At 52.7% G+C, this 15,026-nt stretch overlaps 8 annotated features.

The window, feature by feature from the left end:
* Positions 5,659-5,948: an enhancer, noted in NCBI's record as "active region_18156". NCBI's record gives its function as "activates an Ori minimal core promoter by ATAC-STARR-seq in GM12878 lymphoblastoid cells {active_cell/tissue: GM12878}" and the evidence as "EXISTENCE:reporter gene assay evidence [ECO:0000049][PMID:35858748]".
* Positions 6,453-6,952: an enhancer, noted in NCBI's record as "H3K4me1 hESC enhancer chr20:56026537-56027036 (GRCh37/hg19 assembly coordinates)". NCBI's record gives its function as "activates a minimal SCP1, AML or CMV promoter by ChIP-STARR-seq in naive H9 embryonic stem cells {active_cell/tissue: H9 hESC(naive)}" and the evidence as "EXISTENCE:reporter gene assay evidence [ECO:0000049][PMID:30033119]".
* Positions 6,453-7,512: a biological region, named in NCBI's record as "H3K4me1 hESC enhancers GRCh37_chr20:56026537-56027036 and GRCh37_chr20:56027096-56027596".
* Positions 6,905-7,199: an enhancer, noted in NCBI's record as "tiled region #12455; HepG2 Activating non-DNase unmatched - State 20:ReprD, and K562 Activating DNase matched - State 5:Enh". NCBI's record gives its function as "activates a minimal TATA promoter and a strong SV40 promoter by Sharpr-MPRA in HepG2 and K562 cells {active_cell/tissue: HepG2 | K562}" and the evidence as "EXISTENCE:reporter gene assay evidence [ECO:0000049][PMID:27701403]".
* Positions 6,994-7,138: an enhancer, noted in NCBI's record as "145 bp enhancer 47 fragment used in the MPRA reporter construct; PK_construct_4129". NCBI's record gives its function as "activates an SV40 promoter by MPRA in HepG2 and K562 cells {active_cell/tissue: HepG2 | K562}" and the evidence as "EXISTENCE:reporter gene assay evidence [ECO:0000049][PMID:23512712]".
* Positions 7,012-7,512: an enhancer, noted in NCBI's record as "H3K4me1 hESC enhancer chr20:56027096-56027596 (GRCh37/hg19 assembly coordinates)". NCBI's record gives its function as "activates a minimal SCP1, AML or CMV promoter by ChIP-STARR-seq in naive H9 embryonic stem cells {active_cell/tissue: H9 hESC(naive)}" and the evidence as "EXISTENCE:reporter gene assay evidence [ECO:0000049][PMID:30033119]".
* Positions 7,057-7,074: a transcriptional cis regulatory region, noted in NCBI's record as "GATA motif; MPRA enhancer 47 activity is reduced when this motif is scrambled". NCBI's record gives its function as "necessary for full MPRA enhancer 47 activity {active_cell/tissue: HepG2 | K562}" and the evidence as "EXISTENCE:site-directed mutagenesis evidence [ECO:0005528][PMID:23512712]".
* Positions 7,129-7,318: an enhancer, noted in NCBI's record as "active region_18157". NCBI's record gives its function as "activates an Ori minimal core promoter by ATAC-STARR-seq in GM12878 lymphoblastoid cells {active_cell/tissue: GM12878}" and the evidence as "EXISTENCE:reporter gene assay evidence [ECO:0000049][PMID:35858748]".

Below are 15,026 nucleotides of genomic sequence, written 5' to 3' on the forward strand. Positions count from 1 at the left end.
GGCCCCTGGGAGGCTTTCTGGGCCCTGCCTTATTTTCCCCTCCCTCCTCCTCCTCCTCCTCTTCCTCCTCCTCCTCCTCCTCCTTCTCCTCCTCCTCCTTCTTTGAGACAGAGTCTCGCTCTGTTGCCCAGGCTGGAGTGCAGTGGCACGATCTCGGCTCACTGCAACCTCTGCCTCCCGGGTTCAAGCAATTCTCCTGCCTCAGCCTCCTGAGTAGCTGGGACTACTCAGCTCATTTTCGTAGTTTCAGTAGAGATGGGGTTTCACCATGTCGACCAGGCTGGTCTCGAACTCCATCCCCGCTTCTCCGGGGGCTTTTGCTCCTAGGGACTCGGGCTCAGCTGAGCTCCTGTGGCAAGTCCTGTGGGACTGGCATGGAAGACTCCTGGGCATGTGGTGGCTATGACTCTTCCCTGATGATGGTGGCCGCACCTTGGGATTGGCTTCTCCTCTCCGAGTCAGGGACCTGGCATTTTTGGCAGCCCTTGGGGGCTATTTTTAAACCTCACAGCTGGTTTTCATCATGGCTGCTGATAGGTACGTGTAGAAACATTGGCTCTTGCCAGCATTCTGAACAAACCTTGAAAACGAGCAGGGTTGGAGCGGATCAAAGTAGGGGCTCAGGGAAACCTGAAGTGGCAGCCAGTGCTTTGTCCCCACCCAGACCCTTGTAAGGGTAGGAGATGAAAGAGCACGGCTCAGGGGATGAAAGGAGGTGCCAGGGCAGGAGAGAGCCAGGGATTAGGCACGTTCCCTAGAAGATGTAGCTGAATGTTGGGACACAAGAGAAGGGCTCTTTAGCAGCTAGAGCCCTGTTATCCTCATTTTCCTTCTGGGAGGCAGCAAAATACAGAGGTTGAGAGCATGGATTCTGGAGTCCCACAAACCCGACTCCTGCCTTGAGTCCTGACTCAGCCTTTAACAGTTGTGTGACTGTGAGTGTATCAGTTAGCTACTGCTATGTAACAAATCGTCCCAAAACCTAGTTGCTTAAAACATGATTCTATGAGTTGACAATTTAGCCTGAACCATCAGTTGGATGGTTCTGGTGTGGGCTGGCATCCCTCATGCATTTTTGCAGTCAGCTGCCAGGTCTGCAGGAAGCTCTGACTATCATCTAGGGTGATGGGAACAACTGGTCTCTCATTCTCCAGCAGACCGTTCTCCTGATGGAGACAGGGGTCTGAGAGAGAGAGAGAAGAAACCTGCAAGGCAGTTTGGGGTCTTAGATTTGGCACGGTATCACTTCCAGCAATTCTGTTGGCCAAAGCAAGTCACAAGACCAACCTGACTCAAGAGTTTGGAAACCACCTCTGCCTTTTGATGGGAAGAGCTGCAAAACCATTTTGCAAAGGGCGTGGATACAAGGAAGGATGAATTTAGGTCATTTTATACAAATCTGTGTACCACACTGGGTACCTATATACCTCTCTGAGCCTCAGTTTCCTCATTTGTAACATGTGAATGGTTTGGCTTGTCAATCGGAGAAAACGATGAGACAAGTCTCAATCATTTTTGGAGATTTATTTGCCAAAGTTAAGGACGCACCTGGGAGACAGGTCTATGTCTTTCTCTGAAGATGATTTTGGGGGCTCCAAATTTAAAGGAGAAAGGGTGGGATATTGAGAAACACACAGTTTTCACATAAACAAAAGGGATAAAGGAAAGATGGGGGAATCTGCATTTTACATAAGATAACACAGACAAAATGGGGTAGGGGAACAATCAGATATGCACATGGGTCTGGCAGGCAGGGGTGACTGCACCTAAATAAAAGCTATAAATTGTTGTGAGAACTAAATAAGGTGAGGTATGTAAAGTCGCCAGCATAGTGCCTCATGCAGAGTAAGTGTTGATTCCTTGAGAGGAGGCTTACTTCTTGTCACCCCCTACCCCACTATCCCTGTGAAACACGACCTAGGAGGTCAGCTGCTCTCTGGAGAAATGCTGTCTAAAAAGGCAATCTGTAGTTGCAAGAAACCCACCAGGACTGGGAGCCTTTTGGTAAATATTTCTTTCACCCTCTGCTTCAGTGATAGAAACAGTAAGTCCCAGTTAAGCAGGATCAAAGTTTATCAGGCATCAGGACACACTGACTGCTGTCTTTCTGTCCTTCAGGCCATTCAGGTGTCTTCGCTCTTTCATTCAACAACATCAAGCACCTACTGTGTGCCAGGTGCCGTATTAAGTGTAGAGGACAGAGTGGTACTAAAAGACAACACAGTCCTTGCTGCCAAGGAGCCAACAGTTATAATGACAGCAACACACACCAGTTCAGGTCTATGTCCCTGTAATAAGGTAAGAACTTCAGGTCACAATCCAGATAATAAATATGGCATTGGTTTATTGTTCTTACTATCAACAGAATTGTGATTGGATCCTTATCCCACTAGGCTGGGTGGGGAGCTTAATCTCAGGCTGTCTCATATTCTAGTTGCTAATAATAACATCCAAGCCTCCTTAATAGCTCACTTATATTGAGGGGTTACTAAATGCTGGCCCCAGGGCAGGTCTTTCTTTCTTTTTTTTTGAGACAGGGTCTTGCTCATTGACCAGGCTGGAGTGCAGTGGCAAGATCACCTCTCACTGCAGCCTGGACCTCCTAGGCTCAAGCCATCCTCCCACCTCAGCCTCCCAAGTAGCTGGGACTACAGGCATGCACCACCACACCCAGCTAATTTTTTTTTTGAGATGGGGTTTCACCTTATTATCCAGGCTGGTTTTGAATTCCTAGGCTCAAGCCTTCTGCCCACCTCTGCCTCCCGAAGTGTTGGGATTACTGGTGTGAGCAACTGCGCCCGGCTGTAGGTCAGGTCTTTACAAGCATTTCATCCTCTTGCAGCAATCTGATGAAAGCATTTAGGGAGCCCAGGAAGGGAGGCAATGGCGATCTGGAAGGATGAGCTGCTTGTCCTAGGATATACAGCTATGAAGTTTTTAACCGAGGTCTGGTTGGATTAGGGAGGGGACCTCTGCCATGGGGCAGTCATGACAGGTGCGGGGCGCCATCGTCTCCTCCAAGGGTGAGGCGTCTCCTTGAGGTGGGGTTTACCCCATGGTTTCTGTTCTTGGGTGGCAGGGCCCTGAACTCCCGGGTGGGTGTTTCACCCTGGGAGGTGGCAGGGGTAGGGACAGGGTGTCTAAATCTCAGCAGAAACATCAGACGTGGCCACCAAGAATCAGCTAGATCATCCAGAGCAGCAGGCACAGCTTTAAGTGCACACGTCCACAGGCCTGGATGTTGTTTTAACATTTAATTTGGTCCAGCATCAGCCAGCTAAACCTGCTCCTTATCCTCGGCCTGGCTGGCAGCTGCCCTTCAGGGAGCTAAACCGACTCCTGCGAGTGAGCGGCCAGGCCTTTTCGGGAGCCTTCCAGGTGTAACTCTGGGGAGGGTCCACATACCTCAGTCACTCACCCACTTTTCACACCCATGCACACTTACCTGTGTACATTCACAGACACACTCACACACTACTTTTGTTTTTTTTTAGAGATGGGATCTCATCTCACTATGTTGCCAGGCTGGTCTCGAACATCTGGCCTCTAGTGATCCTCCCACCTTGGCCTCCCAAAGTCCTAGGATTTCAGGCGTAAGCCACTATGCCCAGCCACACTTCTACATGCATGCTGCTTCTTGCAATCTCACACACTCACACACACATGCACATGCCACTCCAGCACACCCACACATGCACACACACACACACCCCTCTCCTGAGCCACCCTGGGCCGCAACTCACCTGGCTTGAATTTTGCTTTCCTCAGTTGACCCTGGCCCTGCAGATTGAGAGGCTGCACAGAGTTGAGGCCGGAGACAAGAGACTTATTTTTCACCTGGCTCAGCCACCAGGTCTCTTGCTGTCTCTGGGCCTTATTCCCCTAACAAAAACAACAGTCCACATTTATTGAGGATGCTGCGGATACAGTCTTATCTAAGACTCACAGCAGGCTCGCGGGAAATGGAGGCTCGGGTAGGGAAAACAGCCTGTCCAAGGTCACTCAAGCAGTAACCAGAAGACCTAGGGTTTGAACCCTGACTGTGGAACTCTAGCTACTTTGCTGTACGATTTCCCAGCCCACTTCATTCTCCCAATGAGGGCATGCTGTTATAATCCCATTTCACAGGCAAGGAAGCTGAGGCTGGTAGCGTGCAATAGTGCCTCGCACTGGACTTCTCTCCCTCCCTTGCTCACAGTGGGTTTCTTCCTGCCCAGGGCCCTGGCCCGCTTTTTTCTCTCTGCCTCCCTACTTTGCCAAGTTCATTTCTCTTCTTCCTCTTGGTCTTACCCCAAATGCCATTTCTTCAGGAAGGCTTCTCTTACCCCCAAACTAGACCATACTCTCGCTTGAGGCTTTGACTGTGTGTTTTCTGTTTGCTAGTATCACACGTGACCCCCAGTGCCATGGCCTGAAGTACCTCTTGATTAGTTCACCTGCTCCTTAAGTCAGGCGTCTGGGTGGGCTCCACTGACCCTCTGTCCAGGGTCTCAGTGAGCCCAAGTCAAGGTGTCAGCAGACTGTGCCCCTTTCTGGAAGCTCAAAGGAGCACCTGTTTCCCGCTCATTGGGGTGGTTGGCAGGATTCAGGTCCTCGGTTCCTCCCTTTCCAAGGCAGCAGCCTCGGGGTGAGTCTTCCCTCTGCCGCCCCTCTTCCCATTCCCTCTTGCACTTTGAAGGGTTCCTGTGAGGACACTGGGCCCTCTCCAATGGTCCAGGATGATCTCCCCATCTCCAGGCCAGCTGATTCACAACCTCTGTTCCATCTGCTGCCCAAATTCCCCTTCGCCGAGCAGCCTAGAGTAGTTACAGGTTCTAAGACTGGGGTGAGGGCATTATTCTGCCCACCACACTTCCCTTGCTCTTTCCTGCCGCCTGTTTTTACTAAATGTGTCATTATATATTTGTGTGCGGGATTATTTGTTTTCTCTCTGTCTCCCTCCCATAAATATCATCTGCATGACTCAGGTTGGGTACATAGTGCCCGTACACAGGAGGCACCGAGTACAAATTCCCTGAACAGGTGGCAGCACTGGGGTCTGAACCTGCACCTCCATGTCATTCTTCACCAACAAAGTAGTTTGGATGCTCACTTTCTCCCCTGCCCCCCATCAGGTCGGCTGTGTCCAGTTGCACAGGCTGTAAACTGCACAACTCCAGGGCACTATTCACAGCTTAGTCTCTGTGATCCTCGCAGTTGGGTGGGATCCCTCAGGACCTGTAGGCTGAAGCTCTGCTCCTGAACCTGAGCCTGTGTTCTAAATCTGGAGCCTGTGTTTATAACATTGGCTGCTCCTAGAATCATCCAGAGGGCTTTAAAAAACCCTCCTGCCCAGGTCATGCTGCAGACCAACTGTGCCAGAATCCCTAGGGTGGCACTCGACACCCCAAGTGACTCGGAAGTGCAGCTGAGGTGCAAGCCTCCCTCCAGCAGGGATGCAGAGATAATTATGTAATAGAGGAAGAGCCCCCCCGCTCCCCACCCCGCACCCCCGTATACTTTGCATAACCGAGGCTGGGCAGCTTCCTCTCCCACAAGCCTGTTTCTTCACTCTGTGTGGCTGCAGCCTGGCTCTCTGGCTTCCTGTGGCCGATAAGCCGTCCTGCATCATTTACGACGCTGGGCCAACATCTGGCTGCCAGTGTGGTCACCAGTCCTGCTCCAGTGAGGGGGGGCAGTCATCTCTCCCGGTGACAAACTGCCTGCCCAGAGTGGCCTGAGGAGAGGGAGAGCAAAACCACATCATCGAGCCCCTTGCTCGGGACTCACTGGAGGGTTGCTGGATCCTAAGTTTTACTTGGCTTTGGGAAATTTGCTGGCACATTAGTTGCGAATATTTTGCTCTGAGGGTCTGAGTGCAGTCTTCGAGGTCTCAGCATCTTGCTTCTAGGGCAGGTGATGAAGTGCACTGGAGGCTGGGGCATGGCCGGGTGAGCTGAGGTGCTGGGAGCAGCAGGGACCATCTGGGGCAAACTGCTGCCAACACACTGGGTTTCTAGGGTGGACCCGGCCTGAGAAAGGACGGAGGGGGTGGCTTGGAGGGGCCCGGAGAGCGTGCAGGCCACAGATGGCACTGTGTCTGCACACTTCACCTTCTGTGAGAAATACTCATGACCCTCTTGCTCTGTCGAGCCCCGGCCGGGAGGTGTGTGGTTGCAGCCGCTTGGTCACGTCCCCTCATGTGGAAGGTACAGTCCCTATGGGCACACAAGCCCAGGGCTGGGCCCAGCACCCGCAGCTAGCCAGCCCCGGAGCCCCCCGAAGGAGTCCCCCAGGCCAGCACTCCTCACCTCTGGGCATCCACCTCCCCCTTTCCCAGAGGGCTGTGTATCTTTGGCCTCCTGTCTGGGGGCCTCGGCATTCCTTTTCTTTCTCTTTCCTCCTCAGTGAAGCTGGCAGTGGGGTGGAGACAATTCAGGTCTGACTGCCTCAGCAGCAAAGAAGGGGGGATGGCAGCTCATCCCAGGCAGACCCCGAAGGTGAAACATCCGCATGGCACACCAGTGCACTTGTGGCTATTGCAGCCCCATAGTCAAAACTCCGGGATGTCACCATGCTGAGGGCTCTGTCACATCCCCTGCTCTGGCTTGGCCAAGCTCCAGATGGGGACAATCACATGCCTCGCCTTGCCCCAAGAAAGAGAAGGAGATAATGGAAGACCACCCTTCTCCATGGTGCCACGTGGTGATGCTTGCTCTTGCTTACTGAGCACTCACGGGGGACCATTCTCAGCCTGGCTGCGTATGAGTGTATTCAGTTCTCACAACAGCCCTGCAGCCACGTAAATCCTCTTTGTACCCATCTTGTAGATAAGAACACCAAGGCACAGAGAGGTCAGGTAACCAGCCCGGGCCCGCACAGCCCATGGGGACAGTGCTGGTGTTGGGATGCAGGCCTGACCTCCCCAGGCACCCCGAGTCCTGCTGCCCCTTAGAAGGAGGCCCAGGAGCCTTGTCTTTGCGGGGCTATGAGAGGGGATGCTGCTGTTCCCACTGCAGAGGTCACAGGGGAGCGCTTCCGCTGCTCAAGAGGAACCGGAACTTTGGAAACCACATTCTTATCTGCCCCTCACAAGAGCGGCAACTTGGCAACACTCATGAGCAATTAGGGTTGGATGAGTCTTCAGGATGGGTCTTCATCTGCTTACTCGTTCACTCAATCATTCATTCACCTACTCTTTCATTTGTTCAGCCAGTGTTTATTGAAGCCTTCTCAGGCCAGTTGCTGGGCCATCTGCACAGCCATGCCGGGAATAAACCCACAAGCACGTGCTGTCTATGCTATGTCAGGTGGAAGGACGCCAGAGACAGTTAAACCGGGTAAAGGGCAGGAGGAGGATGGGACAGGAGCCTGCCTTAGGCAGGGTGGTCAGAGAAGGCCTCTGGGGAGGTGACATTTGAGCAGACATCTGAATGGAGAGAATGAGCCAGGCCCTGGGCGCAGGATGTGCCAAACAGAGGGAACAACCAGTGCAAAGGCCTTGAGGCAGGGGCGGCAGCAGGGTGGCCAGTGTGGCTGCAGGGCAGTGAACAAGAAGGAGTGTGGCGGGATGAGGTTGGAGGGGCTGTCGTGGGGAGGGATGGTCGGGCCGGGATGGGCCTGTGCCGCACTGTTGAGGGCTTTGGACTTGACTGAGTGAGACGGGGGACAACGGGGCCCATGAGATTGTTCTGCCTTGTGTTTTAAAGACTAGAGTGGTAGAGTGGGGCCGGGCATGGTGGTGTGTGCCTGTAATCCCAGTTACTTGAGAGGCTGAGGCAGGAGAATCGCTTGAACTCAGGAGGCGGAGGTTGCAGTGAGCAGAGATCATGCCATTGCACTCTAGCCTGGGCAAAAGGAGTGAAACTCTGTCTTAATAAATAAATAAAGACTAGGGTGTAAGGGCAGAAAGAGGGAGGAGGTGAGGAGGAGAGAGGTGTCAGTGGCTTCACATGACGAGGGCGGGAGGCTGTGAGAAGTGACCAGGTGCAGGGTGATGTGATGGTACAACCTCAGGGCTTGATTCTGACTTTGACAAAGGAATGCCTGTGGAAGGCAGGACACCTGGTGGAGTTAAAATGACTGTCCAGCCTGGGCAACATAGTGAGACCCAATCTCTACAAAAAAACTTAAAGTAGCTGGGTGCAGTGGGTCATGCCTATAATCCCAGCACTTTGGGAGGCTGAAGTGGGAGAATTGCTTGAGCCCAGGAGTTTGAGCGAAGCCTGGGCAACATAGTGAGACCCCGTTTCTACAAAAAAAGAAAAAATTAGGCAGGCGTGGTAGTCTGCACCTATAGTCCCAGCTACTCGGGAGGCTGAGGTGGGAGGATCACTTGAGTCCAGAAGGTCAAGGCCGTAGTGAGCCGTGATGGCGCCATTGCACTCCAGCCTGGGCCACAGAGCAAGACTGTATCTTAAAAAAAAAAAAAAAAAAAAAAAAAAAAGTTGGTTGCAGTGGCTCACGCCTGTAATCCCAACACTTTGGGAGGCCTAGGCGGGCGGATCACTTGAGGTCAGGAGTTCGAGACCAGCCTGGCCAACACGGTGAAACCCCATCTCTACTAAAAATGCAAAAATTAGCCAGGCATGGTGGCGCATGCCTATAGTCCCAGCTACTCGGGAGGCTGAGGCAGGAAAATCGCTTGAACCCAGGAAACAGAGGTTGCAGTGAGCCGAGATCTCACCACTGCATTCCAGCCTGGGCAACAGAGCGAGACTCTGTCTTAAAAAAAAAGTGTGCTTTTGGGTGGGTGGCTGATTATCAGGTAAGAGTTGGTGATATGTGATGACGTGGGGTCATCAGACTGGCAGAGAGGTTGGAGAACCAGAAACTCCAGAGGGCTAGGAGGTGAATGAGTGTGACTAGACATGCACCTGGGCAGCCGAGTCTCCAGCCTCTAAGCTCCTGTCCTGCCCTCTTCCAGGCCAGCAGATGCCCAAGTCTCTCCCGTCCCCACCACCTCCAGCCCTTTGTTGCTTTCACTTGAGCCCAGGAGGTGGAGGCTGCAGTGAGCCATGATCATGCCACCGCCCTCCAGGCTGGGCGACAGAGTGAGATCCCTTCAAGAAAGAAGACAGAAAGAAAAAAAGATAGAAGGGAAGGAATGGAGGGAGGGAGGAAGGCAGGCAGGCAGGCTGCAAAGATTTCAGCCTGAGCAGTGAGGGGCACGGAGGGTGCACCTGTGGAGATGGGAGATGGGGGAAGAGCAGGTATGAGGGAGAAAATTCTGAGTCCTGCTTTCGACGTTGCATTTGTCTGCAAGACTGCTTAGCTAATTCCTGAAAATTGGGTGGCTTAAAGCAGCAGAAATTTAAATCCCAAATCAAGGTGTGGGCAGGGCTGTTTCCGTCCGGAGGCTCTGAGGGAGAATCCGTTCCAGCCTCTCTTCCAGCTTCTGTGGGCACCAGAGATCCTTGGAGCTCCTTGGCCTGCGGTGGCATCGCTCTAATCCCTGCCACCGTCTTCACACAGCCTTCTCCTTGTGTCTCGGAGTCTCTTCTTTCTCCTATAAGGATACCAGTCATTGGATTTAGTGCATAACCTAATCCTATATGACCTCATCTGAACTAATTCCATCTGCAAAGCCCCTATTTCCAGATAAGGTCACATTCTGAGGTTCTGGATGAACATGAATTCTGGGGGACACCGTTGCAGGCGGTGCAGATGCGTTAAGATTAATATGTGATGATAGGCCCGCCTGGCGCTGCTGAGAAGGTGGTGGGCCCTGAGCTGGAGGTCAGCAGGTGGTCCAGGCTGGAAATCAAAATTGGGAGTCATTGTCTTAGCCATGGCGTGTCTGCCACTGTCCTGGATGTGACACCGAGGAGGGAGGGTGAACAGAGAATAGGCGAGAGGTCAGAGTCCGGGGCCTCCCCAGGCACCTGTTAGAAGAACCTGGGGATTCTGCAGGAGGCTGGGACCCACCCTGAGAGGTCCAGATTAAAGAGATGAGGTGGTAAGAGCTCCTCAGGGCATACGGGGGTGCAACTTGCATAAGCACCCCTGATTAAAGCTGGTTCGTGCGTGGGACCCAGTGACGCTCTGATGGCTGTTACATAGAAGTAGTTCAGTGCCTCCTGAAAGGACAGGTGTGAGTGGCACTTGCCATTGATTCTGATGAGCCTCCTCCTCCTCAGAGCACGGTCTTGCAGGGCTGTGCTTGCCTCCTGGATCTCCTCACTGTTGGAGGGCCCTTGGAGTCCCTGGGGGCCAGAGAGATTGTGTGTGCATGCAATGGGCAGGGCAGCAATTTGACATTCAAATTTGTTTTCTCAGCTCACCAGGGCTGCTGGGCCCCGGCTTGAATGGGCTTTAGAAATCAGATGACAAGGAGAAGTGTTCTTTGAACTTCCATTACCCTCCAGCCTGGCCCTATGCTGCTACCTCCCACCAATCCCCCACGACACCTTGGCCACACACAGGCTTTCTTGGGTTGTCTCAAACATGTTGAGCTCCTCTCAACCTTGGTGGCCTTTGAATGCATTCTTTCCTTCTTCTGGGAATCCTGTTTTCTTCCCCCCATTCCTCTCTGGCTGACTTGGATTCACCATTCAGTTCTCAGCTTCGTTGTCACTTTCTCCAAGAAGGCTTCCGTGATTGCTCTTCCCCCTGACCCTGAAGCTTGGGCTTGTCCACTGTTATAAGTTCTCATAGTTCCAATGCTTTCCCATCATTGCACACATCAGAATCTATTTAAATAATTATTTCTGCAGTTATTTGTCAATTGTATGTCTCTGTTGCTAGGATACAGGGACCTTGCCTGTCTTGCCTGCCATGTCGCCCCCAGCACCTATGACAGGGTGTGGCTCCCAATAGCTGGTCACTAACATCCGCTGGTGGAGGGATAGGTCTGGTTGGAGGGGAAGGTTTGGTTCAGTGCCCGGGGGTCAGGGGATATTCCTGATGGTGGCACAGCTATTTGAGAGAGGCCGCAGCATCTGATAAAGAAAATAAACCAGCCAGTTGGGCCACTGGACGCCTCAGTCACTGCCACCACGTCCACAGCCATTGCAGAAGGGGCAGCTCACTCAGGGTGGCCATGTGTGGGGAGACTTAATCCCGCCCCTATGGTGCAGATATTGAACCGTGGGTGCGCATCTGACCTAGGGGGAGCCGATCATTGGCGCCAACAGATGACCTGAGCCAGTCCAAACTCTCTTAGGGATTTAAGAAACCCTGAGAATATAATGCAGATGACGAGATGACAGCAGGGTGTGACGCTGATGGTTTCTGGGGCAGAGGCAAGCCAGGCAGGCCACGTCGGCCACCTCCTTGGCGCTCCCCAGGTATGCCGGGCACATTTCAGCCCCGGGGCCTTTGCACGGCCTGGAAGGCTCTTCCCCAGGCGGCTGCATGTCTCGCACCCTCACCTCCTAGGTCTTTGTTCTCATGTTCTCTTTTCAATGAGGTGTACGCTGACCACCTCTCTCACCACTTATAAACCTAATTCTCCCCCATAAACACTTGACTTCTCCCCATCATTTACATCCCCATCTGACATACTTGACTCCTTTTTGTTTTGTTTTGTTTTGTTTTTTTGTAGAGATGGGAGGGTCTCGCTATGTTGCCCAGGCTGGTCCTGAACTCCTGGTCTCGGGTGATCCTCCTGCCTTGGTCTCCCAAAGTGCTGAGATTACTGGTGGGAGCCACTGCGCCCAGCCCTTTCTTGCTCTTGGTTGACTTTCTTTCCTCACTAGAATATAGGAAACATGGCTCTAAGAGGGGCCGTGAGCATGGTCTGTGGAGTCTGGGAGACCTAGGTTCAAATCCCAGTCTCACCACTTTTTACCTGTGTGACCTGGGTGTGGGACTCTCTCTCGGGGCCCCCGTTTCCATCTCAACCAGGGTCACAGTGGGAGGCTGTCATTGAGGCTAAGGTCAAGGCAGGTGAAGGTGCTTTGTCAACTGGGAAGAATGGATGGGTTTGCAAAGTTCGCCCTTTGTTCTAGAAAGGAAAAAACGTGTGAAGCTTCCAGATGGGAACTTTCTGTCCCTGCATGTTCCATGCAGAGGCTCCATGGGGATGAAGTTCAATATTTCTTGTGGAAAGTCACTTCTCATCTCTCGCTGTGATTCTTTCAGAACTGAGGCTTCCTGGGTGCCTTGCACTGCAGCCAGCCACGTTCCAGGGAGCGGCAGCTCCTCGAACCAGAAGTTCTGAGATTGAATCCTGGGACTGTAACCTGGTAACTGCACTAGACAAATCTGGTTCAACTTTTATGTAACAAAGTTGTGAGTTGTTTTCAGTTGCCATGAACCCCCAGGTTGAAGGTCACATAACCTGGGCATGCCCAGACACACCAAGCATGCAGCCAGGGACGGAACCTAAGTGCTCGAGCCAGGATGCGGGGACTGAATTAAGAAGTGGACACTGCATGGCAGGATCCAGGATCCAATCAGATTGAGCCCTGGCGTCACCCCATGGCAGGATCTAATCAGATCACACCTCCTGGCATCACCTGATGGGAACAGCCAATCAGATCACACCTCATTATCCTATGCTTATAAAACCTGACCTAGCCCCCAGCCGGGAGACAGATTTGAGTGTTTCCTCCTGTCTCCTTGCCACTCACAGTAAACCTTTCTCGCTGCAAAAACGCAGTGCCTTGGTGTTTGGCTTTCTGCTGCATGTGGGCAATAGACCCAGTTCGGTTCAGTGACTGACCTAGTTGGCAGTGAGCTCAGCACATGACGCAGTGGCTCAGGACTCCACTCAGCAAGTTCCCTGGGACTGCATCCCTTTATTGTCCCATTTTCCAGGGAGGAAACCAAGGCTCACCATGGCGAAGGGGATGCCCGTGGTCACAGCGAGTGAGTGGAGGAGCGAGATCTCTAACCCAGGCGTGTGGCATACTCGACCCTGAGCACCAAAACATGCTTGCTAGAACCATGACAACAACGTCAACAACGACAAATAACAGTGACTGGGTGTTTGCCGTGTGCCAGGCATTGTTCTAAGTGCTCCGTGGGAACTACGCTGACCACCCCATGAAGGAAGTGCTCTTTCAGATCCCATTTTGCAAATGAGGAAACCGAGGCTAGCAAGCAGTCAGACTGGAATGGGAGCCCAGGAGGCCTGCCTGCAGGAGCCGAGAGCTCACCACTGCACCATGCATTTCATTCATTATCCTATGCTTAGTGTTTAGTGTTTATCCTACGTTTAGATGTTTAGTGGACCGTTCTGTCCTCTGACCCCAGCCGACAAGCTCTCCTAGGTTCTGGTGGTGAGAGTTACATTGGTTTCTATGATGTGTAACAAATTATCACAAACTTAGTGGCTTCAACAACACTCATTCATTATCTGTTTTAATGGGTCATGAGTCTGGCACGTTCTAGCTGGGTCCACTGCCCAGGGCCTGACAAGGCTGCAGTCAAGGTGGTGGCTGGGCTGCATTCTCATTTGGAGGCTCAACTGGGGAAAATCCACTTTCAAGCTCCCTCTGGTTGATGGCAGGATTCATTTCCCTGCAGCCATAGGACTGAGGTCCCTGTTGTCTGTCCAGCTGTTGGCTGGGACTGCTGTCGGTTTCTAGAGGCTACTCACAGGTCCTTATCACGTGATCCCTCCTGGGGCCCTTTCACACGTCCAATCTCTGACTTCAAGAAAGGCTCAGTTCCTTTTAAGAGCTCATCTGCTTAAGCCAGGCCCACCCAGAACCATCTCCCTTTTGAGGAACTGCAAGTCAACTAAGTAGTAATTTTCTCATGGCATGATACGCCACCATATCTACAGTCCTGCCCACATTTCAGGGAAGGGGGTTATACAGGGAGTCTACAGCAGGGGCTGGGATTCTGGGCCATCTTAGAATTCTGCCTCCCACAAGGGGATGGGGGCCTTTCTGTGCTGTGAAGGAAGACAAGGCTTCTCTCTGGAAGGATTCCCAGCCACAGTGCCTCAGAAAGAAAAGTTAGCAAGAGGCATGGGCCCCTTTCCAAAGCCTTCCCTCAGCCAGCTTTGGGAATTTCTCCAAGTCTTGGGCACTGTGTTTGGTAATCCAGTGTGGATTCAGCTCCTGTGTGGCTGTAACCTTTGCAAGAGAGGGAGATAGCACACTGCTAAGGGCTCTTTCTGTCTTGAGTGACACAAAACCAGACTCAACGGGTTTAAGAAAAACGATTTGTGTGTAACTGACATGGTCTGGGCGCTTCCTGCCTTCAGGCACAGATGGATCCAGGGGCTCAAATGCTGTCATCAGGACTTGATTTTTCTCCATCTCTTACTCTCCCACCTTTTTCAGTCAGCCCCTGGCAGCCCAGGGCTTACTTCCTCCCACCTCCCCTTCCAATAGAAAGTCAAATTCTTTCTTCCCAATAGTGGCGCAGAATTAACTCCTGTTGGACTGATGTGAGTCCTGTTCCCATCCCTAAGCCAATCACTGAGTCCTGCGGGATGAAATAATCTGATTGGCCAGGACTGAGTCACATGTCTACCTTGGGCTTTGAGAGTGGGGTTTTACCTCCCCAGACTACAGGAATTCAAGCTGTGGTGGTGGGGGGGGGGCCCTCTCAGAAAATCCTGAGTGCTGTTTCCAGAAAATGTGGCAATGCATACTGGGGGTGGGGGTGGCAGAAACAACAGTTGTCTTCCCCATCTGGCGAGAAAGTGGAGTGGTGTAAGCACCGCCCCATCCCACACCATCCAGGGGCCAGAAGCGACTGAGGGGACTATGAAGCCAGTGGGGCTGCGGGTGGAGGGTTGGGGGTCGGGGAGAGGGGAGGGGGAACTAGTAGCCGCTCCCTGAGATGGGTGAATAGAGGGAGGGGCAGCAGAAATGCAACGGTCTCAGGGGAAGAAGGAGACTTCCCAAGACTGGGAAGGGAAGGGGAGAGGAGGTGAGGGGGGTCTATGCCTGGGGAGACCGTTTCCCTAGGGCACTGTCGCCCAGCAGCACTGGCCTCCCCCAGTCTCAGGGACTCCAGGTGCTGCCAAGTTCTCCAGCCTCAGCTCAGCCAGAGGCTGCAGATCCACCCTGTCTAGGGGTCAGCAGCCTCTGACAATGAGCACTTAAAGGTAGACAGTGTGAACTGAAGACCAGCCAGCTCCT

The sequence above is a fragment of the Homo sapiens genome, chromosome 20 (genome assembly GCF_000001405.40).
Source record: "Homo sapiens chromosome 20, GRCh38.p14 Primary Assembly".
NCBI lineage: Eukaryota > Metazoa > Chordata > Mammalia > Primates > Hominidae > Homo > Homo sapiens.